At 53.8% G+C, this 27,592-nt stretch overlaps 2 protein-coding genes and 1 pseudogene across 9 annotated transcripts in view, besides 1 other annotated feature; 2 read left to right on the top strand and 1 right to left on the bottom strand.

The window, feature by feature from the left end:
* The window catches only part of ATCAY (ATCAY kinesin light chain interacting caytaxin), a 47,398-nt gene extending 34,553 nt beyond the window's left edge, over positions 1-12,845 (top strand). For both annotated transcript variants that reach the window (NM_033064.5, XM_047439578.1), the window contains 4 exons: positions 2,505-2,540; positions 3,569-3,640; positions 5,529-5,561; positions 9,346-12,845. In NM_033064.5, the coding sequence (NP_149053.1) occupies positions 2,505-2,540; positions 3,569-3,640; positions 5,529-5,561; positions 9,346-9,355 (151 nt within the window). In that variant the 3' untranslated portion in view covers positions 9,356-12,845. The remainder of the gene's footprint in view (positions 1-2,504; positions 2,541-3,568; positions 3,641-5,528; positions 5,562-9,345) is intronic.
* On the bottom strand, positions 5,008-5,269 carry RN7SL202P (RNA, 7SL, cytoplasmic 202, pseudogene; annotated as a pseudogene).
* NMRK2 (nicotinamide riboside kinase 2) lies at positions 17,832-27,179 on the top strand. 7 transcript variants are annotated; one of them, NM_001289117.2, is made up of 8 exons: positions 17,832-17,941; positions 18,221-18,460; positions 21,338-21,428; positions 21,988-22,051; positions 23,366-23,522; positions 24,663-24,734; positions 25,834-25,940; positions 26,846-27,179. In NM_001289117.2, exons 2-8 carry the CDS (start codon positions 18,435-18,437, stop codon positions 27,034-27,036), a joined length of 708 nt encoding a protein of 235 aa, NP_001276046.1. In that variant the 5' UTR covers positions 17,832-17,941; positions 18,221-18,434; the 3' UTR covers positions 27,037-27,179. The 7 variants fall into 7 exon arrangements, 6 of the variants coding, with proteins under 6 accessions (NP_001276046.1, NP_733778.1, XP_006722788.1 ...); NM_170678.3 differs by having other exon boundaries at positions 22,003-22,051; XM_006722725.4 differs by lacking the exons at positions 17,832-17,941; positions 24,663-24,734.
* Positions 23,094-23,853: an enhancer, noted in NCBI's record as "H3K4me1 hESC enhancer chr19:3938329-3939088 (GRCh37/hg19 assembly coordinates)". NCBI's record gives its function as "activates a minimal SCP1, AML or CMV promoter by ChIP-STARR-seq in primed H9 embryonic stem cells {active_cell/tissue: H9 hESC(primed)}" and the evidence as "EXISTENCE:reporter gene assay evidence [ECO:0000049][PMID:30033119]".
* Positions 27,180-27,592: the final 413 nt, after the last annotated feature.

Consider the following 27,592-nt stretch of genomic DNA (forward strand, 5'->3'; position numbering starts at 1 on the left):
TCTCGGCTCACCACAACCTCCGCCTCCCGGGTTCAAGCGATTCTCCTGCCTCAGCCTCCCAACTAGCTGGGATTACAGGCATGAGCCGCCATGCCTGGCTAATTTTTTTTTTTTTTTTTGTATTTTTAGTAGAGACAGGGTTTCTCCATGTTCGTCAAGCTGGTCTCAAACCCCTGACCTCAGATGATCTACCGGCCTCGGCCTCCCAAAGTGCTGGGATTACAGGCGTGAGCCACTGCGCCCGGCCTATCTTAGCCATTTCTAAAAGCACATTCGCATATTTGTGCAGCCATCACCACCATCCTCTCCAGACCTTTCTTTTTTTTTTTTTTGAGATGGAGTCTTGCTCTGTTGCCCAGGCTGGAGTGCAGTGGCACGATCTCGGGTCACTGCAACCTCCACCTCCTGGGTTCAAGTGATTCTCCTGCCTCAGCCTCCCCAGTAGCTGGGATTAAGGCACCCACCACCATGCCCAGCTAATTTTTTTTTTTTTTTTTTTTGAGATGGAGTTTAACTCTTGTTGCCCAGGCTGGTCTCGAACTCCCGACCTCAGGTGATCCGCCCACCTCAGCCTCCCAAAGTGCTGGGATTACAGGCGTGAGCCACCACGCCTGGCCGATTTTTGTATTTTTAGTAGAGACGGAGTTTTGTCATGTTGGCCAGGCTGGTCTTGAACTCCTGACCTCAGTTGATCTGCCTGGCTCGGCCTCACAAAGTGCTGGGATTACAGGCATGAGCCACTGCACCCGGCCCTCTCCAGAACGTTCTCATCTTCCCAAACTGAAACTCTGTCTCCATGAAACACTCACTCCCCATTCCACATCCCAACCCCTGGCAGCCCCCATCCTACTTTCTGTCTCTGGGAGTCTGACGACTCTAGGGACCTCCTAGGAATGGATCCACACAGGATTTGTCCTTTTGTGTCTGACGTCTCTCACTGAGCGTGACATCCTCAAGGTGCATCCACATTGTAGCCTGTGTCAGAATGTCCTTCCTTTTCATGGCTGAATAATATTCCATTGCGTGAATGGACCACATTTTGTCAATCCATTTGTCCATCAATGGACAATTGGGTTGTTTCCACCTTTTGGCTCTTGTGAATAGTCATGTTATTTATATGCTACTCACCTATGACCGTAGATGTACAAATATCTCTGTAAGACCCTACTTTCAATTCTAATGAGTATATACCCAAAAGTGGAATTGCTGATAATTCTGTTTTTTTGAGGAACCACCATACTGTTTTGTTTTGTTTTGCTTTGCTTTGCTTTTTTGAGACGGAGTCTCACTCTGTCACCCAGGCTGGAGTGCAGTGGCGCTATCTTGGCTCGCTGCAACCTCCACCTCCCGGGTTCAAGCAACTCTCCTGCCTCAGCCTCCCGAGTAGCTGGGACTACAGGCGCCCACCACCACACCCAGATAATTTTTTTGTATTTTTAGTAGAGATGGGGTTTCACCATGTTGGCCTGGCTGGTCTCAAACTCCCCACCTCAGCCTCCCAAAGTGCTGGGATTACAGGCGTGAGCCATCGCACCCAGCCTGTTTTTTGTTGTTGTTGTTTTGTTGGGGTTTTTCTGGTTTTTTTTTTTAGACAGAGTCTCACTCTGTTGCCTACGCTGGAACGCAATGGCGCAATCTCGGCTCACCATATCCTCCAGCTTCTACGTTCAAGGGATTCTCGTGCCTCAGCCTCCCGAATAGCTGGGATTACAGGCACCTGCCACCACGCCCAGCTAATTTTTGTATTTTTAGTAGAGATAGGGTTTCACCATGTTGGCCAGGATGGTCTCAGTCTCCTGAACTCAGTGATCTGCCCGCCTCGGCCTCCCAAAGTTCTGGGATTATAGGCGTGAGCCACCGTGCTCAGCCAACACATAAACATTTATAATCAAAAATGCATCTATGGGCCAGGTGTGGTGGCTCATGCCTGTAATCCCAGCACTTTGGGAGGCTGAGGCCAGAGGATCGCTTGAGCCCAGGAGTTGGAGGCTACAAGTGAGTTCATGCCACTGCACTCCAGTCTGGGCTATGACAGAATGAGAACCTGTCTAAAAAAAAGAGAAGAGGCCGGGCGCGGTGGTTCGCGCCTGTAATCCCAGCACTTTGGGAGGCCGAGGTGGGTGGATCATGAGGTCAGGAGTTTGAGACCAGCCAGGCCAACATAGGGAAACCCCGTCTGTACTAAAAATACAAAAAATTAGCTGGGCGTGGTAGCAGGTGCCTGTAAGTCCCAGCTACTCCGGAGGCTGAGGCAGCAGAATCACTCAAACCGGGGAGGTGGAGGTTGCAGTGAGCCAAGATCGCACCACTGCACTCCAGCTTGGGCGACAGTGCAAGACTCCATCTCAAAAAAAAAAAAAAAAAAAAAAAAAAGGAAGAAGAAGAAGAAGAAAAGAAAGAAAAAAGAGAGCTTGTTTCTCTGCTTGAAAAGGAAAGGGATTTCCCCAAAAAGTATATCTCAGGGGAAAGGAAGGTTGTGTCTGACATCTTTTTCTTTCTTTCAGATACGAAGAGGAAAGACTGAAGGCCAGGAGGGAGAGGTGTGTGCAGAGTGGTTTCTGCTGGGGCTGGGTCGGGGCAGCGGGGGGCTGAGCTGAACTCTCAGTTAGGGCAACCCGGTGACTTCTGGGCAGCAGGGACCATTGTCCTGTGCAGGGCTCAAGACGCTGCCCTTCTGGCAAGGACTTTAAACTCAGACCTGGGTTCAAATACTGGCTCCCGCATTGAGCTGCAAGGTAACATTAAGCAAATAAAAAGCTAACAACCACCTTGGAGGTTATTGTGCAAGATGAGGCACCCTTGGCAAAAAAGGTTGAGCACAGACTTCACGCTCCATAAAGCATAAAAGTCAAGACGGGCGCGGTGGCTCACCCAGCACTTTGAGAGGCTGTAATCCCAGCACTTTGGGAGGCTGAGGCAGGAGGATTGTGTGAGGTCAGGAGTTGGAGAACAACCTGGACAACATGGCGTAACTCCGTCTCTACCAAAAATACAAAAATTAGCCAGGCGTGGTGGTGCGTGCCTGTAATCCCAGCTACTTGGGAGGCTGAGCCAGGAGAATCACTTGAACCTGGGAGGCGGAGGTTGCAGTGAGCCGAGATCATGCCACTGCACTCCAGCGTGGGTGACAGAGCAAGACTCTGTCTCAAAAAAAAAAAAAAATAAATTAGCCAGGTGTGGTGGCATGCGCCTGTAGTTCAGCTACTTGCAGGGAGACTGAATCGGGACGACTGCTTGAGCCCAGGAAGTTGAGGCTGCAGTGAGCCATGATTGTACCATTGCACTCCAGCCTGGGCAACAGAGCAAGATCCTGTCTCAAAAAAAAAAACAAAAAAAAACAGCCTTTATCATGCCAGGTCCAATGCCAGCTTTGAGGGAAACAGAGGCAAATAAGACAGAGTCTTGGTCCCAGAAGTTTTCTCAAATAGCAAAGGCAGGGAACATCTCACTGGTTTGGAAAACAGGTCCCAGGGGACAGGAAAACCAGAGAGGCCAGTACTAGCTGAGAGCCCACCCCTTGGCCTGGCTGGGCTAGTCACCCTTGTCACCTCGTTCTCTCTGTCCACAGCGCGAGGCCCCAGCCGGAGTTTGTGCTGCCCAGGTCTGAAGAGAAGCCAGAGGTGGCACCAGTGGAAAACAGGTAGGTGTGCAGGGGACCATGGGCAGAGAGCTGACAGTCACGGGAGGCTGCCTACTCCCTTGGGGGAGGCTAGAGAGGAAGATGGGTCCTTGTTCAGGGACAGAAAATGGAACTAAGTGGCCGGCCATGGTGGCTCACGCCTGTAATCCCAGCACTTTGGGAGGCCGAGGTGGGCAGATCACATGAGGTCAGGAGTTCGAGACCAGCCTGGCCAGCATGGTGAAACCTCATCTCTACTAAAAATACAAAAATTAGCTGGACATGGTGGCTCACATCTGTAATCCCAGCTACTTGGGAGGCCGAGGCAGGAGATTCGCTTGAACCCAGGGGGCAGAGGTTGCAGTGAGCCGAGATAGTACCACTGCACTCGGCGACAAAGTGAGACTCCATCTCAAAAAAATAAATAAACAAATAAAATAAAAATAAAAATTATCGGCCGGGTGTGGTGGCTCACGCCTGTAATCCCAGTAGTTTGGGAGGCTGAGGTGGGCCGATCACAAGGCCAAGAGATCGAGACCAGCCTGGCCAACATGGTGAAACCCCATCTCTTCTAAAAATACAAAAATTAGCTGGGCATGGTGGCTCGTGCCTGTAGTCCCACCTACTTGGAAGGCTGAGGCAGGAGAATCACTTGAACCTGGGAGGCGGAGGTTGCAGTGAGCCGAGATCAGACCACTGCACTCCAGCCTGGCGACAGAATGAGATTCTGTCTCAAAAATAAATAAATAAATAAATATCATCCAGGTGTGGTGATGTACACCTCTAGTCCAGCTACTCAGAAGGGTGAGGCAGGCAGATGGCTGGAGCCCAGGAGGTCAAGGCTACAGCAAGCTATGACTGCACTCCAGCCTGGGCAACAGAGCAAGACCCTGTCTCAAAAAAAAAAAAAAAGTTATCATGATGTTCTCATATTATCGCAATCTCAATGTTATCATAATGATGAAAGGTGACCTTTGTCCAGGTCCCAGCAGGTAGATTCAGACTCCCCCAATCCAGTAGACCCTGAGCAACATTATTGGCTTCATTTTATGTTAGTGAAGGGCCTTGGCCAATTTCCTCAAAACTGTCTGTTTGGGCTCATTTGTTACGCAGCAGATGCACGCTGACATCTGTTTTGTACCAGATACAGCAGTGTCGGTCCTCATAGGGCTTACAGCCTCCACGAACAGGTAGAAAATGCCCAAGAATGGGCACTGTGGCTCACGCCTGTAATCCCAGCACTTTCGGAGGCCAAAGCAGGAGGACCATTTGAGGTCAGGAGTTCGAGACCAACTTGGGCAACATATTGAGACTCCATCTCTACAAAAAGTTTAAAAGTTAGCCAGGCATGATGGTGTATACCTTGTAGTCCCAGCTACTTGGGAGGCTGAGGTGGGAGGATCACTTGAGCCCGGAGCTGGAAGCTGCAGTGAGCCATGATTGCACCACTGCCCTCCAGCCTGGGCAACATAACAAGACCCTGTATCTTTTTTTTTTTTTTAAGACAGATTTTCACTCTTGTCGCCCAGGGGCCAGAGTGCAATGGTGCGATCTTGGCTCACTGCAACCTCCACCTCCCGGGTTCAAGCGATTCTCCTGCCTCAGCCTCCCGAGTAGCTGGGATTACAGGCACCCACCACCACACCCGGCTAATTTTTGTATTTTTAGTAGAGACAGGGTTTTACCATGTTGGCCAGGCTGGTCTCGAACTCCTGACCTCAAGTGATCCACCCACCTCAGCCTCCCAAAGTGCTGGGATTATAGGCATGAGCCACTGCACCCAGCCAAGACCCTGTATCTTAATAATAATAAATAAATAAAAATAAAATAAGTTAAAGAAAAAAAAGGGAAAATGCCCAGGCTCCCAAAAATAAGCAAATAACGCCCAGTCTCCGTCTCTCCTCCACAGGTCTGCTCTGGTCTCAGAAGATCAGGAAACAAGGTGGGTGTGATGCAGAGTGGTCTTCGTGCTGTTTTCAAAATGTCCTTCATGGACCTGTATTAGTCAGGGTTCTCTAGAAGGACAGAAAATCAAACCAGCTGCCAGCAAATATAAAGCAGGCAGGGATCCTAATCCCAGGAAAACTGCCCCATGACTTATCGGGAGTGGGGGATACGGCACCGGGAAGGCAGGGAGGTAGTGGTTCCCTTAACCAGTCAGGCCGTCCTTGCACAACTCCAGGGGGGCACCATTACCTAGACCAGGATGCAAATGAGGCCCCAGAGTTATGCAGTGGAGCGGCCCTCAGGGAAAAACCCACACAGAGCCAAGCTCCCTGAAGCCCAGGATATGATACCACAAAAGGGTAGACTGTCCACGCTCTGCCTCCGATTCTCCACCTGGTTCTGGATGCCAAGAAAAGCCTCCCTGTGGCCGGGCGCAGCGTCTCACGCCTGTAATCCCAGCACTTTGGGAGGCCGAGGCAGGCGGATCATTTGAGGTCAGGAGTTCAAGACCAGCCTGGGCAACATGGCAAGACCCCGTCCCTAAAAAAAATACAAAAATTAGCCAGGTGAGCCAAGATCGTACCACTGCACTCCACAGCCTGGGCAATAGGGCTAGACTTTGTCTCAAAAAAAGAAAAAAAAAAGGAAAGAAAAGAAAAGCCTCCCTGTGTGTTGATGTCCAAGGGTATCCTCAGGCACAATGGTTTGCCAGAAGGACTCACAGAGCTCAGCAAAGCTGTCATACTCACAGTTATGGTTTATCACAGTGGCATGGTTTATTACAGTAGAAGGGTACAGTTAAAAATCAGCAGAGTTGGGTGTGGTGGCTCATGCCTGTAATCCCAGCACTTTGGGAGGCCGAGGCAGGTGGATCACTTGAAATCAGGAATTCAAGACCAGCCTGGCCAATATGGTGAAACCCCATCTCTACTAAAAATATAAAATTAGCTGGGTGTGGTGGCACACACCTGTAGTCCCAGCTACTCAGGAGGCTGAGGCAAGAGAATTGCTTGAACCTGGGAGGCGGAGGTTGCAGTGAGCTGAGATTGCACCATTGCATTCCAGCCTGGGCAACAGAGCAAGACTCTGTTTAAAAAAAAAAAAACAAAAAAACAAAAAACTTAACAAAAGGAAGAGGTGCATAGGGCTGGATCCAGGAGAGATCGGGTGGAAGCCTGCAAGTGTCCTCTCCCAGTGGGGTTGTGTGGACAGCCTTTATTTCTCCCAGCAGGGATGTGTGGCAAAACACACAAAGTGCTGCCAACTAGAGAAGCTGACCCAAGCCTTTCTAGCCAGGGTGTTTATAGAGAGTCAACTACATACACCTGGCTGACTGTCTGCATGGCTTTTCTTAGCCTCCAGCCCCTGCACAGATCAAGCTGATGCCACGTGGCCCAAGTTCCAACCCTAAGTCACGTTGTGAGTGTTATTAGTCCATTCTCATGCTGCTATGAAGAAATACCCAAGACCGGGTAAATTATAAAGAAAAGAGGTTTAATTGACTCACAGTTCTGCATGGCTGGGGAGGCCCCGGGAAATTTATAATCCTGGCGGAAGCCACCTCTTCACCAGGCAGCAGGAGCGAGAAGTGCTGAGCAAAGGGGGGAAAGCCCCTTATAAAACCATCAGATCTCGTGAGAACTCACTACCACGAGAACAGCATGGAGGTAGCCGCCCCCATGGTTCAGTTACCTCCCACTGAGTACCGCCCACGACAAGTGGGGTTATGGGAACTACAATTCAAGATGAGATTTGGGTGGGGACACAGCCCAACCATATCAGTTAGCATAGACTATCTGGCATGACCCACATAGACACTCCAGCCAGGATGCTCCAAGAGTTTAGAAGTTAATCCCAGGAGCCAGGGAAGGACCAAACTTTTCTTTAGAATGTGTGGGATTTATCCTTGACCACACAGTTTTTTTGTTTTGTTTTGTTTTTGTTGTTGTTGTTGTTTTTGAGATGGAGTCTCGCTCTGTCGCCCAGGCTGGAGTGCAGTGGCATGATCTTGGCTCACTGCAAGCTCCGCCTCCCAGGGTCACTCCAGTCTCTTGCCTCAGCCTCCCAAGTAGCTGGGACTACAGGCGTCTGCCACCACACCCAGCTAATTTTTTGTATTTTTTAGTAGAGACGGGGTTTCACCATGTTAGCCGGGATGGTCTCGATCTCCTGACCTCGTGATCCACCCGCTTCGGCCTCCCAAAGTGCTGAGATTACAGGCGTGAGCCACCATGCCCAGCTGACCACACAGTTTTATACAAATCTATAAGATGGCCTGGCCACATGCCTTACTACCCATGTGACCCAGGAAGCTCCAAGCTAAGAAATAAACATCAAAAATGGCCTTAGACCAGTGCTGCTTAAGGGGCACTGAGTAAAAGTTCTCAATGTATTTCTGAAAAGACCACCTCAACCCAAGCTCTCTGGAGATGAGTTCACATATACAGACAGAAAACACAAGGAAATCATCCACCATGAGCAAAAGACAGCAGAGACAACAAACAGCAGAATTAGATCTTGCCTGGAGATCCTTAGGTGGATAAGATATAATAAGCATGTTTTAACAATTAAAAACACAAAAGAAGGAATTGTAAGAAGCAATAGATGAATGGATGAATGGATAGGTGGATAAATGGATGGATGGATGGATGAGTGGATGGATGGAAGGATGTTTGGATGATGGGTGGATAGATAGATGAATGAATGAGTGGAGGGATGGGAGGATAGATGGATGATAGGTGGATGGATGGATGGATAAATGGATGGATGGATGGATGGGTGAAGGTTGACTGTGTGGATGGATGAGTGGATGAATGGATGGGTGGAGGGATGGAAAGATGGACTGATGGAGAGATGGATGGGTAGGCATATGGATGGGTAAATGGTAGATGAATGGTTGGTTGGATGAATGGTTGGGTAGATGAATGGGTGGGTGGATGGATGGATGGGTAGATGGATGGGTGAGTGGGTGGGTGGGTGGATGAGTGAGTGACTGGATGGGTGGGCAGATGGATGAATGGATGGGTGGGTGGGTGGATGGATGGATGGATGGATGGATAGATAGGTGGATGGATGGGTGCATGGATGGGTGGATGGCTAGATGTGTGGGTGGTTGTATGGTTGGTTGGATGCATGGATGGATGGCTAGATGGATGAGTGGGTGGGTGGATGGATGGATGGATGGATGGATGGATGGATGGACAGATGGATGAGTGGGTGGATGGATGGGTGGGCAGATGGATCAATGGATAGGTGGGTGGATGGATGGATGGATGGTTGAATAGATGGATGAGTGGAGGGATGGATGGATGAATGGATGGATGTGTGGGTGGGTGGATGGGTGGATGGACGGATGAGTGAGTGGCTGGATGGGTGGGCAGAGGGATGAATGGATCCCTCCATTGAGTGAATGGATGGGTGAGTGAGTGTGTGGATGGATGGATGGATGGATGGATGGATGGATGGATGGGTGGATGGATAGATGTGTGGGTGGTTGTATGGTTGGTTAGTTGGGGGGTGGGTTGAAGCCTCCCTCCAGGCTGATTGAGGTTGCCAGTCTCCAGGGCCTGTTCTGCTGAGGCACCAGGAAGGAGGCCCTCAGAGCCACACTTAGAAAGTGGGTGGCAGGAGCCGGGCCCTGAAGGGCATGTGCCACTCTTGCTGCTGGGAGTTCACCCACGCTGGGTGGGATCATTGTTTTGGATTACATACATGTAGAAGCGCATTTTGCACTTTTAACATTAACAGCAATAACTTGGCCTGTGTCTTTCCCTCCCTAGCATGTCCTGAGGCGACGTGAGCATAACAAAGGACATGGAAGAAGATTCCAGATGCCAGAAAACCTCTGTCAGACGCCCACTGGCCCCAGATCTCATCCTGCCTCATCCTGAGTCCCAATCTTCCAAGGGTGCCAGCCCCTCCGTTCATCTCTGAAACCCAGCATCCTTTTCAGCTGCTTGAAAACATTGTATTTTTTTTTTTTAACGATGCAGTATTTGTGCGTTCCAGAAAAGGGCCCAGCTCTGAGCCCCTCACCCTTCCACACTCACGAACTCTCAGCCGAGGAAGGCAAGAAGCGCAGGGGGTGGCCCGCGTGGCGTCGGTGGCCTCCGCTCCTGCTCGCAGCCTCTGTGGTCAGAGCTGGATACAAGATTCAAGACCCTTCTCTTGCTTGTCACCCGCTCCAGGTTGGAGCCACAGACACCCACCGCCACCCCGGCTGGGTCTGCGTCCTTTCCTGTGCCTTTCCCTCCAGAATGCGGCCTCAGACCTAGAAGCTCAACCCCCCTATGAGGGCCACGTCCTGGGGTAGCTCCTGACCTCCGACCTTATGTCCAAATTTCACACCCATGGTTTTTCATTTGACCCGCCCCCTTCTCGCTCATAATGACACCCAGCTCCTTTGAGAGGATCAGAGCCCATTGCACAAGAAGAGCCGCTGCCAACCATCCTTGTCCTCCGATTGCAAAATGACACCCCAGTAATCTAGAACATTCTCAAGCCCCTTTAACTCAGATGTCAAGCCACCGGGCAAACCCCGTCAATACCTCCCACCAAGGAATGAGATATGTGGACCTCACTGCTCCCCCAACCCAGCGTCAGGCTGGGACACGCCAACGCTGTTCCGGGTTGGAACAGCAGAGGCTCAGAAACTGGCTCTGAAATAGGCAGACCTAGCAAGAGGAAGATACAGGGTATCGGGCGTTTGAGTGTTTCAGAAGTCATTCGGGAAGATAAATCCAGTGCGCTGGCCGCAGCCACCTGCATTCAAAGCTTGGACCAGCGGGTTCTTGTTCGGGAGGCAAATTTCCCTAGGAAAAAGAAGACAGACTTTTCTAATGTGGTCCAAATGCGGATCACTGGTCAGATGGACTCTAGAAGCACTGAGCTCCCTGTCTCTGGAAGTATTTAAGAAAAGGCTGGGCCAGGCACGATGGCTCACGCCTGTAATCCCAGACTTTGGGAGGCCGAGGCAGGCGGATCACCTGAGGTGAGGAGTTTGAGAACAGCCTGGCCAACATGGTGAAACCTCATCTCTACTAAAAATACAAAAATTAGCCAGGCGTGGTGGCAGGTGCCTGTAATCCCAGCTACTTGGGAGGCTGAGGCATGAGAATCACTTAAACCTGAGAGGCAGAGGTTACAGTGAGCCAAGATCGTGCCACTGCATTCCAGCCTGGGCGACAGAGCAAGACTCTGTCTCAAAAAAAATAAAAAATAATCAGGGCACAGTGGCTCATGCCTGTAATCCCAGCACTCTGGGAGGCTGAGGTGGGTGGATCACCTGAGGTCAGGAGTTCAAGACCAGCCTGGTGAACATGGCGAAACCCCGTCTCTAATAAAAATACAAAAATTAGCCGGGCATGGTGGTGCATGCCTGTAATCCCAGCTACTCGGGAGGCTGAGGCAGGAGAACTGCTTGAACCCAGGAGGCAGAGGTTGCAGTGATCCAAGATCATGCCACTGCACTCCAGCCTGGGCAACAAGAGCAAAACTCCGTCTCAAAATAAAAAGAAAAGAAAAGAATGGACAGTGTTTGCAGAGAGTTGCTCACGAGTTTCCCTCTAATCCTAAATGTCTTCATGTCTATCAGTCTGAGCAGACGGTGAGTAGGGCGGGCACATTCTCCAGGCCCTTCTTCCTAGCTCTGTGGTTGACCTCTCAGCAAGTGCTATCCAGGCTGGGCCAACCAGACCCACAATTAACTGAGCCTCAGTGAAAGCGTCCAGTGCATCTTGACCTGAGACAGCAAGGAATTGCATTTGGGGTTATTCCAACGATGATGGCAGGGAACTGGTGGTATTTAGTGCTGAGGGGCAGTGATACAGAAAGATTTGCCCTGTGGGACAGGGTCCTGCGCGAGTCCCATCCCCAAAAGCCAGCAGCTCCTGCCATGAGGAAGACGGGGTTTCTGAGCAGGCTTATGCCTGCAGGTTCCTGTGGAGCCACCGGCTGTGACGGGACACCTCTGGGTCTCAGCATTGCCCTGGGGAGGCTGGGACATTTAGGGACATGGTAGGGTTTTAACATTTGTTTCCCAAATGTCAAATCCCGGGCACAGGGGCAAGACCCTGTCCCGAATTCCCACCCCAGTGAATGGTGTCGCTGCCAAAGCCAACACAAGATGACAAAAGTGGCTGGGTACGGTGGCTCACGCCTATAATCCCAGCACTTTGGGAGACCGAGACAGGTGGATCACCTGAGGTCAGGAGTTCGAGACCAGGCTGGCCAACATGGTGAAACCCCATCTCTACTAAAAATACAAAAATTAGCTGGGTGTGGTGGCGCGCACCTGTAGTCCCAGCTACTCAGGAGGCTGAGGTAGAAGAATAGCTGGAACCCAGGAGGCAGAGATTGCAGTCAGCCGAGATTGCACCACTGCACTCCAGCCTGGGAGACAGAGCAAGACTGACTCAAAAGAAAAAAAATGACAGAAGCCTGATTATCAGACTGCCCGGAGGAGACAGGCTCCAGCAGATAGATGCCAGCCAGGCCCAGCTGCCACGATTTGTCCCAGGTGACCAAAGGCACGCAGCTCCAGCATGAATCGTTCTAACCCAACAGTGACAAGAACTGCTGGGCCTTAACCGTCATGGAAGACTGGGGCCGCTTCCAAGTCACAGACAGGAGACGGGGACAGGAAAGAACTCATTCCACCCAATCGGACACCTAATAATTGAGTGTCTACAGCAGCAATCAAGTGACAAGTGAGGCCCTACCTGACCCAGAAGGTGCCTGCCGGCTAAACATTCTGCCCCCACCAGAAACTCCAGGGGGTCCGCCCGTTATGCCGTGGCCCACCCACGCCCCTTTGGATCACCAGCAGTCACAGACAACAGGCAGGCGAAACTGAAGACCCCAACTCAGCCCCAGCGGACCCTCCAGAGCAAAAGAGGCCCCCGGCGAGGCCACCTGTCGGCAGGCATGCCGAGGTCAAACAGCCGGGGCCACCGTTCCCAGCTGGGCCACGACCTGCACCGTCCACAGATGGGCTTTGAGATGGATTTGTATCAGGGTGGGGGGTGTGGTTTGGCCAAAATGCAATGGACCCCGACCCCTCCTCGTAAAAGGATGTTGGGTTTCCCTCTGGTGACACATGGGATGCGTCATAAACCCTCCCCCAAAGTCCTGGTCAGCAGCCCATCCTTCCAACGATGAGTTTTGCGGTTTTTCAGAACAGAAATGATCACTACGATTGACGACGGTCGTGATGTTAAGACGTCGTCTCCATGAGCTTTGGGGGGACTTTTATGTGGAATAAAGAAACTATCACTGAGAAGGGAGGTTTGTTCCTTTTGAGTACTAGTAACAGGCAGGGCCCAGTGGCTCACCCCTGCCATCCCAGCACTTTGGGATGCGGAGGCGGGAGGATCACCTGAGGTCAGGAGTTCCAGACCAACCTGGCCAACATGGTGAAACCCCGTCTCTACTAAAAATACAAAAATTAGCCGGGCGTGGTGGCACACGCCTGTAATCCCAGCTACTCAGGAGGCTGAGGCAGGAGAATCACTTGAACCCGGGAGGCAGAGGCTGCAGTGAGCCACGATCACGCCTGCCAGTTCTCTCCATCCACCCAGTGGGGACACTGTGCGGTGGCCATGTCATACCCACCTTGATGTCTCTGTCACCAGCAGGTCCCAAAGTCATGCTACTGTGCTCCAGTTGTGTTTATGCCGGCAGGTGCCCTTTAGGGGAAAAGGTGGGGTCTTCGTGGGTGGATGGAGGGGACAAAGAGGGTGGAGCTGGTGCTGGGATCCTGGGGAGCCGCTCCCAGTTTGGAGGTGACAGCCCCCTCCTTTATCCTACTGCACGGGGTCTCTGATTACCCTGAGAGGTTTCTTGAAAACCCCATTCACGGCCAGGCACGGTGGCTCACGCCTGTAATCCCAACACTTTGGAAGGCCGAGGCAGGTGAATCACTTGAGGTCAGGAGTTTGAGGCCAGCCTGGCCAACGTGGTGAAACCCCGTCTCTACTAAAAATACTAAAATTAGCCAGGCGTGGTGGTGCGCGCCTGTAATCCCAGCTACTCGGGAGGCTGAGCCAGGAGAATTACTTGAACCCAGGGGGCGTAGGTTGCACTGAGCCGAGATGGCGCCACTTCACTCCAGCCTGGGCAAAAGAGACTCCGAACCCCCCACCAAAAAAAAACAGAAAAGAAGGCCGGGCGCGGTGGCTCACGCCTGTAATCCCAGCACTTTGGGAGTCCGAGGCGGGCAGATCACGAGGTCAGAAGATCGAGACCATCCTGGTTAACACGGTGAAACCCCGTCTCTACTAAAAATACAAAAATTAGCCCGGCGTGGTGGTGGGCACCTGTAGTCCCAGCTACTCAGGAGGCTGAGGCAGGAGAATGGCGTGAACCCGGGAGGCGGAACTTACAGTGAGCCGAGATCGTGCCACTGCACTCCAGCCTGGGTGACAGAGCAAGACTCCGTCTCAAAAAAAAAAAAAAACAACAGTAAAGAAAACCTCACTCGCTCTTTCATTCATTTCGGGGCACAGGGGGTCCAGTCCCTCACACCACTCCCAGCCCAAGGGGTGGGCTCAACCCAGGGACCTGGGGCCTTCCTGGGGACCAGGAGGAAGGGACCTTTCTGATCAGAGAACTAATACACAAGCAGCCGTCAGCCAAGCCAGCAGGAGGAGGGGTGTCCCCGGCAGAGTGACCCACGGGGAGCAAGGCCTGGGGCAGCCAGAGAGGGGCCTGAGGGCCGGATCGGCGCCACCAGTGTTGCAGAAAAACCCAGGACGAAATTAAAGTCTTCATCATTTGGTCACTTTCTTTTTATTATCATAATTACTTTTTTTTTTTTTTGAGACGGAGTCTCACTCTGTCACCCAGGCTGGAGTGCAGTGGCACAATCTCAGCTCACTGCAACCTCTGCCTCCCGGGTTCAAGCAATTCTCCTGCTTCAGCCTCCCGAGTAGCTGGGATTACAGGCGCGCGCTACCACGCCCGGCTAATTTTTGTATTAAGTAGAGATGGGGTTTCGCCATGTTGGCCAGGCTGGTCTCGAACTCCTGACCGCAGGTGGTTCTCCTGCTTTGGCTTCCCAAAGTGCTGGGAGTACAGGGGTGAGCCACCGTGCCCAGGCTTTTTTTTTTTTTTTTAATCAGGGTTTTCCTCTGTTGCTCAGGCTAGAGTGCAGTGATGCAATCTCAGCTCACTGCAGCCTCAACCTCCTGAGCTCAAGGGATCCTTCTGCCTCAGCCTCCCAAGTAGCTGGTACTACAGAAGCAGGCCACCACACCCAGCTAATTTTTTTTTTTTTTGGTAGAGATGGTGGGGGGCAAGGAGGCGGGGGTCTCACAACGTTGCCCAGACTGGTCTTGAACTCCTGGCCTCAAGCGATCCTCCCACCTTGGCCTCCTAAAATGCTGGGATTACAGTAGTGAGCCACTGCAAACATTTCTTTTTTTGAGACGGAGTCTGGCTCTGTCGCCCAGGCTGGAGTGCAGTGGCGCCATCTCGGCTCACTGCAAGCTCCACCTCCCGGGTTCATGCCATTCTCCTGCCTCAGCCTCCTGAGTAGCTGGGACTACAGGCGCCTGCCATCGTGCCCACCTAATTTTTTGTATTTTTAGTAGAGACAGGGTTTCACCGTGTTAGCCAGGATGGTCTCAATCTCCTGACCTCGTGATCCGCCTGCCTCGGCCTCCCAAAGTGCTGGGGTTACAGGCGTGAGCCACCGCGCCCGGCCAAACAGACACTTTTTTAATAAATCAAGATGAGAGTCACTTAATATAAAATTAACCATTTTTTTGTTTTTTCATTCTTTTTGAGATGTAGTCTCACTCTGTCGCCCAGGCTGGAGTGCAGTGGCGCGATCTCAGCTCACTGCAAGTTCCGTCTCCCGGGTTCACGCCATTCTCCTGCCTCAGCCTCCCGAGTAGCTGGGACTACAGGCGCCCGCCACTGCGCCCAGCTAATTTTTTTTTTGTATTTTTAGTAGAGACGGGGTTTCACCGTGGTCTCGATCTCCTGACATCGTGATCCGCCCACCTCAGCCTCCCAAAGTGCTGGGATTACAGGCGTGAGCCACCATAGCATACCCGGCCTAAAATTAACCATTTTTAAGAGTACATTCTTCACAATGTTTTGCAAATACCACCTCTATTAAATTCCAGAACATTCCATTACCCCAAAAGTAAATCTGTCCCCAGCAGCCACAGTCATCCCCACCCACCTCCCCCAGCCCCTGGCACCCACGCGTCCCCTTCCTGTCCTCGTGGATTGACGTGTCCTGGGCATTTCATGTAAATGGGATCACTGCACCGTGGGGCAGTGAGGTCGCTAATCAATACCCTGGGACCTGGGACTGCTTGGGGACTGGCAGGCATTTGTAGCCCCTGTGGCTTCTCCCTCTCCTTCCTGCCGGGGTGGGCTGGCACAGGGAGGCCTCCCAGAGGTGCCCTGCCAGGGCCTTTATCTGGGCATGTCACTGTCACCTGAGGCCCTGGGCCACGTGCCCCACCAAGAGGCTGCCAGGAAATTCTTGCCACCGAAACTGGGCCAGAGGTGAAGCCCAGGAGCCGGGCTTTCCTGGGTGCCTGCTTGAGCACCTGGAGGAGCTCTGGCCACAGACATAGCCACCCCGCTGCACTGCCACAGATCCTGTGGCTGACTGCTTTTTCTGAGCTTTCCTCATGAATACCCCAAGATTTCCAGTCCATTTTGCAAAAGCTCTTGAAGTCCAGGGTCACAATTCTGTTAACAGGACTCATAAAGTACATCATTGGTCGGGCGTGGTGGCTTAAGCCTGTAATCCCAGTACTTTGGGAGGCCAAGGAGGAAGGATCACTTGAGGCCAGGAGTTAGAGACCCGCCTAGGCAATGTAACAAGACCTCATCTCTTAAAAATTCTCTCTCTCTTTGGTGTATTGATCTCTTACTGCATACAGACATACAAACTTGGCCATCCTATCACCCCACCTTCCTAGTCACTTCCCATCCTCTGATCACCCCCCTGCTCCTGGGCTATAATTTCCCACTTTTCCTTGTATTGGTGGAAAGGGAGAAGATTGAATTCAATCTCCCTCCCATACTACAAAACCCCATGGTAGTAGTCCCTCACCCGCCTCAACAAAGTCAGCCTTACTGTTTTAAGAAGCATCAGAAAAATTATTTTCTGGTGGGGAGAGGCGTCACATGCCTGTAATCCCAGCACTTTGGGAGGCCGAGTTGGAGGAATCATCACGTGAGGCCAGGAGTTCAAGACCAACCTGGGCAACATGGCAAGACCCCATCTCTACAAAAAATTTTAAAGTTAGGTGTGGTGGTGCGAACCTGTAGTCTCAGCTGCTCGGGAGGCTGAAGCAGAAAGATCGCCCCAGTGTGAGAAGTTGAGGCTGCAGTGAGCTGTGATCACATCACCACACTCCAGCCTGGGCCACAGAGCGAGACCCTGTCTCAAAAAATTCAAAAATGTAGGCTGGGCATGGTGGCTCACACCTGTAATCCCAGCACTTTGGGAGGCCTGAGGCGGGCAGATCACCTGAGGTCAGGAGTTCAAGACCAGCCTGGCCAACATGGTGAAACCCCGTCTCTACTAAAAATACAAAAATTATCTGGGCGTGTTGGTGCTCGCCTGTAATCCCAGCTATTGGGGAGGTTGACGAAGGAGAATTGCTTGAACCTGGAAGGCAGAGGTTACAGTAAGCCAAGATGGTACCACTGCACTCCAGCCTGGGTGACAGAGCAAAACTCTGTTTCAAATTTATTTATTTTTATTTTATTTTATTTTATTTTTTTGAGACGGAGTCTCGCTCTGTCGCCCAGGTTGGAGTGCAGTGGCACAATCTCAGCTCACTGCAACCTCTACCTGCCAGGTTCAAACGATTCTCCTGCCTCAGCCTCCCAAGTAGCTGGGACTACAGGCGTGTGCCACCATGCCCAGCTAATTTTTTTTGTATTTTTAGTAGAGACGGGGTTTCACCATGCTGGCCAGGCTGGTCTCGAACTCCTGACCTCGTGATCCGCCCGCCTCGGCCTCCCAAAGTGCTGGGATTACAGGCGTGAGCCACTGCACCCGGCTCCATCTGAAATTAAAAAAAAAAAATTAAAACATTTAATAAGAGAATACTTTTTCCCTTTACCAGTAGAAGAGAGAAGCAGCAGAGTGTCATTCCTCCCCATTACCCCCTCCCCGCCCCGCCGGCCCCCAGTCAAATGACTCCACCCACAAGGCAGGCACGGGATGAATGGTCCCTGGTGTCACGCTGAGATCCTGTGGCTGGGCCCCCGGTCACCTGGGCAAGGCTATCTTGTGATTCACTGCTAAGGATCTTAAGCCCACCTTGGCCCTGACCTCGTTGGAAAACGAAGCTCCCCGCAGGGTCCCGGCCTCTAGGGCTGCTGTGCGGGCGGGGGTGGGTGAGTTCGCTTCCTTGACGCCACGAGAACCAGTCTTAATGTCAGGGTCAGGCCATAGGACACAGAGAGCGGGATATTTTTAGGGAGGGAAAAGTGTGGGGCTGCTGATCTGAGCTCTCTGGCCAGGAGGAGGGAAGAGGGTGGGGGTGGAGAGGAGGGAGGAGGGGGTAAGAAGGGGAGGAGAGGGGAGGAGGGAGTGGAGAGAGGGCAGGGAGGTGGGAGGAGGGAAGAGGCAGCCCCCTGCCCGGCCAGCTCGTGACTAATTTAGGCAAAAGGCAGCCTGGAGCTATTTCCATTCGGCGGCGGGAACAGGTGCCGGCGCCTCCGCCCCATCCCCAGGGGCCGCCTCCCCCGGGGCGGCCTCCAGGCTGCCGAGACCTATAAAGGCGCCAGGTTTTCTCAATGAAGCCGGGACGCACTCCGGAGCGCACTGCGTGGTCGCACCCTACCCGGGCTGCCTTGGAAGTCGTCCCCGCCGCCCCTCCGCACCGGCATGAAGCTCATCGTGGGCATCGGAGGGTGAGCGCCGGGGGACCTGGTGGGCGGCCCTGCGGGGCAAAGCCCCCTGTGCGCGCAGAGGGGGAGGCCCGGGAATGAATGGAGGGATGCCTGGCGCCTGAGGTCACCTACACGCCGCCCGAGGTCAGAGTGCAGGGAGGATTTTCTGCCCTGGGGGTCTCGGTGTCCCCAGTGGGAAGGGGGGCTGGACACTGAGCCCAGTGTTTCATTTTTTAAATGGAAATGATTCCCGCCACCTTCCAATTATACTCAGCATAAAAAAAAAATAGACCAGACACGGTGGCTCAGGCCTGGAATCCTGGCACTTTGGGAGGCCGAGGCGGGTGGATCACCTGAGGTCAGGAATTTGAGACCAGCCTGGCCAACACGGTGAAACCCCGTCTCTACTAAAAATACAAAAATTAGCTGGGCACGGTGGTGCATACCTGTAATCCCAGCTACTGGGGAGGCTGAGGTGGGAGAATCGCTTGAATCCGGGAGATGGAGGTTGCAGTGAGTGCGATCATGCCACTTCACTCCAGCCTGGGCGACAGAGTGAGGCTGTGTCTCAAAAAAAAAATCAGTAGGGACAGAAAATTAACTAAAGCTCCAGTGAACCCTCCTCCCGCCTCGTGGCTGTCCTGGCTAAATCGGGGACTGACACGTGGGCAGGTGGGATGGGGTCCCCAAAATGTCATTCCACATGACTGTGCCTTTGGAGCCTCTCTCAGGCGACCTCAGGCTAGAAGAGATTCAAACTCTCTGTAACCAGCACGGCTGGCTTTGTGGGGCTCACACCCCCGCCTCAGAAGGGACGGGAGCTTGGTCTAATGCTAGCCGGACTCCCTCTTGAATTTCATATTTTTTGTTTTTTGGGGTTTTTTTTTTTGGGGGGGGGGTGTTGTTGTTGCCGTCGTAGTTTGAGACAGAGTCTTGCTCTGTTGCCCCAGGCTGGAGTGCAGTGGTGTGATCTCGGCTCACTGCAAGCTCCGCCTCCCGGGTTCAAGCAATTCTCCTGCCTCAGCCTCCCAAGTAGCTGGGATTACAGGCGTGAACCACATGCCTGTCTAAACTTTGTGTTTTTAGTAGAGATGGGGGGTTTCACCATGTTGGCCAGGCTGGTCTCGAACTCCTGACCTCAAGTGATCCAACTGTCTCAGCCTCCCAAAGTGCTGGGATTACAGGCGTGAGCCACCGTGCCCTGCCCCTAATATTTTTCGAGTAAGAAGCCTCGAATTTTCATTTTGCACTCAGCGCTGCAAATGTCACAGCCCACCCGGGGCACAAAATAACTTGGATTCATGTCAGGCACTTTCTTTTTATTTTTATTTAAAAAATTATTAATACCTGGGGGCTTACATTTTAAAAATTGGGTTTTAAATTTTATAATACAGATGGGAGTCTCACTATGTTGCCTAGGCTGGTCTGAAACTCCCAGGATCAAGTAATCCTCCTGCCTCAGCCTCTCCAAATGCTGGGATTACAGGTGGGAGCCACCACACCTGAGCAACATTAGGCATTTTTCTAACCTGCCTCTTCTGGATATGATATAGGTGTCCTCTTTTTCCGTCAGTCTTTTTTTTTTTTTTTTTTTTTTGAGACAAAATCTCGTTCTGTCACCAAGGCTGGAGTGGAGTGGCACAATCTCAGCTCACTGCAACCTCTGACTCCTGAGTTCAAGCGATTATCTTGCCTCAGCCTCCCTAGTAGCTTGGATTATAGGCACCCACCACTACGCCCAGCTAATTTTTGTATTTTTACTAGAGACAGGGTTTCACCAGGTTGGCCAGTCTGATCGCAAACTCCTGACCTCAGGTGATCTGCCTGCCTCTGCCTCCCAAAGTGCTGAGATTACAGGCATGACCCACCACGACCAGCTAAAATTGTTTATATTATCTATTTATGTATTTATTTATTTATTTAAAGACAGGGTTTCACTCTCACCCAGACTGAACTGCAGTGAGGTGATCACAGCTCACTGCAGCCTCGAACTCCCAGGCTCAGGCGATCCTCCCATCTCAGCCTCCCAAGTAGCTAGGACTACAGGCATGCACCACCACACCTGGCTAGTTTTTAATTTTTTGTTAAGATGGGGTCTTACTATGTTGCCCAGGCTAGTCCTGAGCTCAAGCGATCCACCTGCTTCGGCCTCCCAAAGTGCTGGGATTACAGGCATGAGCCACCGTGCATGGCCGGTGCTGTTTTATTTTTTTAAGCCCTGCTGAGACTAAATCAATTTCCTTATCTGTAAACATAGGTGGGCCGGGCTCACACCTGTAATCCCAGCACTTTGGGAGGCCAAGGCAGGCGGATCACCAGAGGTTAGGAGTTCGAGACCAGCCTGGCCGACATGGCAAAACCCCATCGCTATTAAAAACACAAAAATTAGTTGGGTGTGGTGGCGCACGCCTGTAATCCCAGCTACTTGGGAGGCTGAGGCAAAAGAATTGCTTGAACCTGGGAGGCAGAGGTTGCAGTGAGCCAAGATTGCGCCATTGTACTCCAGCCTGGGCAACAGAGTGAAACTCCGTCTCGGAAAAAAAAAAAAGAAAGAAACCCTGTCTCTACTAAAAATACAAAAATTAGCCAGGCGTGGTGGCGTGTGCCTGTAGTCCCAGCTACTCAGGAGGCTGAGGCAGGAGAATTGCTTGAACCCGGGAGGTAGAGCTTGCAGTGAGCTGAGATCGCGCCACTGCACTCCAGCCTGGGTGGCAGAGCAAGACTTGGTCTCAAAAAAAAAGAAAAAGAATCAGAAAAATCCTGGGAGCTGATTTGCAGGAAGACCCTGAGACATGGACAGGCCCCGGGGAGCCCAGGCTGCACCTCAGGCCCCCTTCTGAGCACCCTGACCTTCTTGGGGGGAGCCCAGGCAGTCTCATGCACACGCTGTCTCCCCAGCATGACCAACGGCGGCAAGACCACGCTGACCAACAGCCTGCTCAGAGCCCTGCCCAACTGCTGCGTGATCCATCAGGATGACTTCTTCAAGGTGCCCGCCCTTGCCCGGGGAGGTGGAGCTGAGAGGGGATGCAGGGTGGGCAGCCAGGCCCGGCCAGCCCCGCCCTCCACTGCCCAGTGCCCGTGTGGGCTGGGCACTGGCTCCACTCCCTGCCTGACCCCTCCTGGGGTCTCTGGGATAAACTGGGCCAGGAAAGTGAGGGACGGGTGTCGTGTTCCCATTTCCTAAGCACCTATTTCATACGCAGCCCATTCTCACTGGACATCCCTACAGTGGGGACCCCAGTTAGATGGATGGGAAAGCCACCATTCCTCCACAGGGCCAGCCGGCTGTGGCTTTCTGGGTGAATACCCTTTATTCCTCTCCACCTCCCCTTTCCCATCTGCAAAATAGACTCTGAGCCCAGCTCGCTGTGTGGGTGTGGGTGGGGGTGAGGGCTAATGAGATGATTGATGGTCTGGGGAAAATCTGAGGGTCAGGCAGAGCCCCCACGCCTCAGGGACCTCAGCAGCTCCAGCAAGGGACCCCCTAAGACTCCATCACCCAGGCCGGGGGTGAGGCAGGACCGGGCACTGAGCCCGAGGTTCAGGCTCCTCTGTTTCAGCCCCAAGACCAAATAGCAGTTGGGGAAGACGGCTTCAAACAGTGGGACGGTAAGGACAAGCATCACCTCCAAGCCCCACTATCCCCCGGGGTCCGCCCTCCTGCAATGCCCGCTCCCCCTCCACTATTCCCCCGGGGTCCGCCCTCCTGCAATGCCCGCTCCCCCTCCACTATTCCCCCGGGGTCCGCCCTCCTGCAATGCCCGCTCCCCCTCCACTATTCCCCCGGGGTCCGCCCTCCTGCAATGCCCGCTCCCCCTCCACTATTCCCCCAGGGTCCGCCCTCCTGCAATGCCCGCTCCCCCTCCACTATTCCCCCGGGGTCCGCCCTCCTGCAATGCCCGCTCCCCCTCCACTATTCCCCCGGGGTCCGCCCTCCTGCAATGCCCGCTCCCCCTCCACTATCCCCCGGGGTCCGCCCTCCTGCAATGCCCACTCCCCCTCCACTATTCCCCCGGGGTCCGCCCTCCTGCAATGCCCGCTCCCCCTCCACTATCCCCCGGGGTCCGCCCTCCTGCAATACCCGCTCCCCGTCCACTGTCCCCCCGGGGTCCGCCCTCCTGCAATACCCGCTCCCCGTCCACTGTCCCCCCGGGGTCCGCCCTCCTGCAATGCCCGCTCCCCGTCCACTGTTCCCCCGGGGTCCACCCTCCTGCAATGCCCGCTCCCCGTCCACTGTTCCCCCGGGGTCCACCCTCCTGCAATACCCGCTCCCCGTCCACTGTCCCCCCGGGGTCCACCCTCCTGCAATGCCCGCTCCCCCTCCACTGTCCCCCCGGGGTCTGCCCTCCTGCAATACCTGCTCCCCGTCCACTGTCCCCCCGGGGTCCACCCTCCTGCAATACCTGCTCCCCGTCCACTGTTCCCCTGGGGTCCGCCCTCCTGCAATACCTGCTCCCCGTCCACTGTCCCCCCGGGGTCCACCCTCCTGCAATGCCCGCTACCCGTCCACTGTTCCCCCAGGGTCCGCCCTCCTGCAATACCTGCTCCCCGTCCACTGTCCCCCCGGGGTCCACCCTCCTGCAATACCCGCTCCCCCTCCACTATACCCCGGGGTCCGCCCTCCTGCAATGCCCGCTCCCCGTCCACTGTTCCCCCGGGGTCCACCCTCCTGCAATACCTGCTCCCCGTCCACTATCCCCCAGGGTCCGCCCTCCTGCAATGCCCGCTCCCCGTCCACTGTTCCCCCGGGGTCCACCCTCCTGCAATACCTGCTCCCCGTCCACTGTCCCCCCGGGGTCCACCCTCCTGCAATGCCCGCTCCCCATCCACCGTCCCCTGGGGTCCGCCCTCCTGCAATGCCCGCTCCCCGTCCACTATCCCCCAGGGTCTGCCCTCCTGCAATGCCTGCTCCCCTTTCCCCAGTGCTGGAGTCTCTGGACATGGAGGCCATGCTGGACACCGTGCAGGCCTGGCTGAGCAGCCCGCAGAAGTTTGCCCGTGCCCACGGGGTCAGCGTCCAGCCAGAGGCCTCGGACACCCACATCCTCCTCCTGGAAGGCTTCCTGCTCTACAGCTACAAGTAAACATCTGCAGGCTCTGGCCCCAGGCATGGCCCTCTCTGGGCGGGTATAGCCATCTCTTGTTTTTTTTTTTTTTTTTTTTTGTTTTGTTTTTTTTTTTTTTTGAGACAAGAGTTTTGCTCTTGTTGCCCAGGCTGGAGTGCAGTGGTGAGATCCTGACTCACTGCAACCTCTGCCTCCCAGTCCAAGCAATTTTCCTGCCTCAGCCTCCCAAGTAGCTGGGATTACAGGCCTGCGCCATCACACCCGGCTAATTTTTGTATTTTTAGTAGAGACTGGGTTTCACCCTATTGGACCAGGATGTTCTCAAACTCCTGACCTCAAGCCATCCGCCCGCCTCGGACTCCCAAAGTGCTGGGATTACAGGCGTGAGCCACCACGCCTGGCTCACATCTCCATTTTAATAGTCAGGAGACCCAGGAGCAGAGCCACCACGGGAAGTCAGGAGTTGGGGGCAGAGCTGGGATCAACCCAAGTCTGGAGCCAGGCGTGGTGGCTCACCAGCACTTTGGGAGGCCAAGATGGATGGATCACCTGAGGTCAGGAGTTCGAGACCAGCCTGGCCAACATGGCGAAACCCTGTCTCTACTAAAAATACAAAAAATTAGCCAGGTGTGGTGGCGTGTGCCTGTAATCCCAGCTACTCAGGAGGCTGAGGCAAGAGAATCGCTTGAACCCGGGAAGTGGAGGTTGCAGTAAGCCGAGATCGCACCACTGCACTCCAGCCTGGGCGACAGAGAGAGACTCCATCTCAAAAAAAAAATTAAAACTAAAAACTCAAGTCTGGGACAAACAGCCACCCTTCTTGGGGAGACTGAGTCTTTCTTCTGGAACCTCAGACTTCTCGGGCAGACCAGTAACCTAGGCTGCGCCCTCTGGCTTCACTGTGTGGCCCTGAGCAAGACATTCTGTCTGTCTGTGCCCGTCCAAGTTGGAGAAGAAGCGTGATTCAATTTTGTGGGGGGCTGCTGCAGGGATGTTGGCCAATTCAGCTTCCCTCCCTGACCCCTAAACTCACTGGCCCAGACCACCCCATGTGCTCGCCACCCTCTGAAAGCCAAGGCTGGGGGGTTGGATATTTTGACTGCGGTTGAAGGAAAGCTCACAGGTGCTGACCGTGTCTCCCCCACTCCGCCCAGGCCCCTGGTGGACTTGTACAGCCGCCGGTACTTCCTGACCGTCCCGTATGAAGAGTGCAAGTGGAGGAGAAGGTGCACTTGGTGTCTGGGGGTGCGGTGGGCTCCTGAGGGCCCTGTCTTGAATTACTGGGTGGAACCAGCGGTAACCTAGAAAATGCCACTGGGGGCTGGGCACAGTGTCTCTGGGCTGTAATCCCAGCACTTCCGGAGGCTGAGGCAGGTGGATCACCTGAGGTCAGGAGTTCGAGACCAGCCTGGCCAACATGGTGAAACCCCGTCTCTACTAAAAATACAAAAATTAGTCGGGCGTAGTGGCGTGCACCTGTAATTCCAGCTACTTGGGAGGCTGAGGCAGGAGAATCGCTTGAACCTGGGAGGCAGAGCTGAGACTGGGACACTGCACTTTAGACTGGGTGACAGAGGGAGACTCTGTCTCAAAAAAAAAAAAAAAAAAAAAAAAAGGCGGCCAGGCGCGGTGGCTCACGCCTGTAATCCCAGCACTTTGGGAGGCTTGGGCGGATCACCTGAAGTCAGTTCGAGACCAGCCTGGCCAACATGGTGAAGCCCCATCTCTACCAAAAAATACAAAAATTAGGGAGGCCGAGATGGGCGGATCACCTGAGGTCAGGAGTTTGAGACCAGCCTGGCCAACATGGTGAAACCTATCTCTACTAAAAATTGAAAAATTAGCCAGGCATGGTGGCGGGCTCCTGTAATCCCAGCTACTCAGGAGGCTGAGGCAAGAGAATGGCTTGAACCCGGGAGGTGGAGGTTGCAGTGAGCCAAGATCAGGCTACTGTACTCCAACCTGGGCAACAGAGCGAGATTCCATCTCAAAAAAAAAAAAAAAAAAAGAGAAAACGCCACTGGACACGGGCCACATCCCAACGCCACAGGCACTGGCCACTTAGCTGGCTGGAGCTCTGTGCCAGGTGCCCAGAGCCTGAGGCCTGGATAGCACGGCCCACCCCAACCCTGTCCAGGGCATCTCCCGGACCCACAGGGTGAACATGCCGGAGGTTGGAGCCTCTAGCCCAGGGCTTCTGACCGAGGGTCCCCTTGCTCAGAGGTTCTGTCCCTGACTATGACAGCTTTCAGGCCCCCCACCGGGGGTATATTCTTAGCATCACCCTTCTGTGCTCTAAGCCATCCTTGCCTTCTCCCTCTGCAGTACCCGCAACTACACAGTCCCTGATCCCCCCGGCCTCTTCGATGGCCACGTGTGGCCCATGTACCAGAAGTATAGGCAGGAGATGGAGGCCAACGGTGTGGAAGTGGGTAAGCCCCTGAGCATGACCAGGCCTTGCCCCGGGCGGGCGGGGGGGACCCTGGGCCCAGCCCCTCTCCATCTTTTTTTTTTTTTTTTTCAAGACAGAGTCTCACTCTGTCACCCAGGCTGGAGTACAGTGGCACGATCTTGGCTCACTGCAACCTCCGCCTCCCAGGTTCAAGCCATTCTCCTGCCTCAGCCTCCCAAGTAGCTGGGATTACAGGCGTGAGCCACCACACTCGGCCCCTAATTTGTGTATTATTAATAGAGACAGGGTTTCACCATGTTGGCCAGGCTGGTCTCGAACTCCTGACCTTAGGTGATCTGCCCTCCTTGGTCTCCCAACGTGCTGGGATTACAGGCGTGAACCACTGCAGCTGGCCACCATTCTAAACGCCCTTCAGTACTCCCCACTCAGGACCTTTGGAAACCTGGACATTCCTCCGTGAGCCTCGCCCCCAGTCCCTCTTGCTATTTTTGTTGTTGTTGTTTAGACGGAGTCTTGTTCTGTCGCCCAGGCTGGAGTGCAGTGGCGCGATCTTGGCTCACGGCAATCTCCGCCTCCCGGGTTCAAGCCTTTCCCCTGCCTCAGCCTCCTGAATAGCTGGGATTACAGGCGCGCGTCACCACACCCATCTAATTTTTGTATTTTTAGTAGAGATGGGGTTTCACCCTGTTGGCCAGGCTGGTTTCGAACTCCTGACCTCGTGATCCGCCTGCCTCGGCCTCCCAAAGTGCTAGGATTACAGGTGTGAGCCACCGCGCCCGGCCCCCTCTTGCTGTTGGTCCAGGAAACTGACTCCAGCAGCCCGACTCTGCAGATCTCCTTGCTCCTGACCCAGCCGTCCACTCGTCCCCCCGTGCTCTGGCCCCCTTCCTCCCGGCAGCCCTGACGCAGCCTTTCTGATTTCAGTCTACCTGGACGGCATGAAGTCCCGAGAGGAGCTCTTCCGTGAAGTCCTGGAAGACATTCAGAACTCGCTGCTGAACCGCTCCCAGGAATCAGCCCCCTCCCCGGCTCGCCCAGCCAGGACACAGGGACCCGGACGCGGATGCGGCCACAGAACGGCCAGGCCTGCAGCGTCCCAGCAGGACAGCATGTGAGCGTTTCCCTATGGGGGTGTCTGTACGTAGGAGAGTGGAGGCCCCACTCCCAGTTGGGCGTCCCGGAGCTCAGGGACTGAGCCCCAAGACGCCTCTGTAACCTCGCTGCAGCTTCAGTAGTAAACTGGGTCCTGTTTTTTTAACTGTTGGTGTCTACCGTGTTCTGTCTAAGATCCGTCAGGCCAGGTGCAGTGGCTCACGCCTGTAATCCCAGCAGTTTGGGAGGCCGAGGAGGGCGGATTGCCTGAGGTCAGGAGTTCAAGACCAGCCAGGCCAGGATGGCAAAACCCTGTCTCTACTAAAAATACAAAAATTAGCCAGGCATGGTGGTGCATGCCTGTAATCCCAGCTACTTGGGAGGCCGAGGCAGGAGAATCGCTTGAACCCGGGAGGCAGAGGTTGCAGGGAGCCGAGATCGCACTACTGCACTCCAGCCTGGGTGACAGAGCAAGATCCGTCTCAAAAAAAAAAAAAATTAAAAATTAGCTGGGCATGGTGGTATACCTGTGTAGCCTCAGCTACACAGGAGGCTGAGACAGGAGGATTGCTTGAGCCC

Source organism: Homo sapiens, chromosome 19 (assembly GCF_000001405.40).
Source record: "Homo sapiens chromosome 19, GRCh38.p14 Primary Assembly".
Classification (NCBI taxonomy): domain Eukaryota; kingdom Metazoa; phylum Chordata; class Mammalia; order Primates; family Hominidae; genus Homo; species Homo sapiens.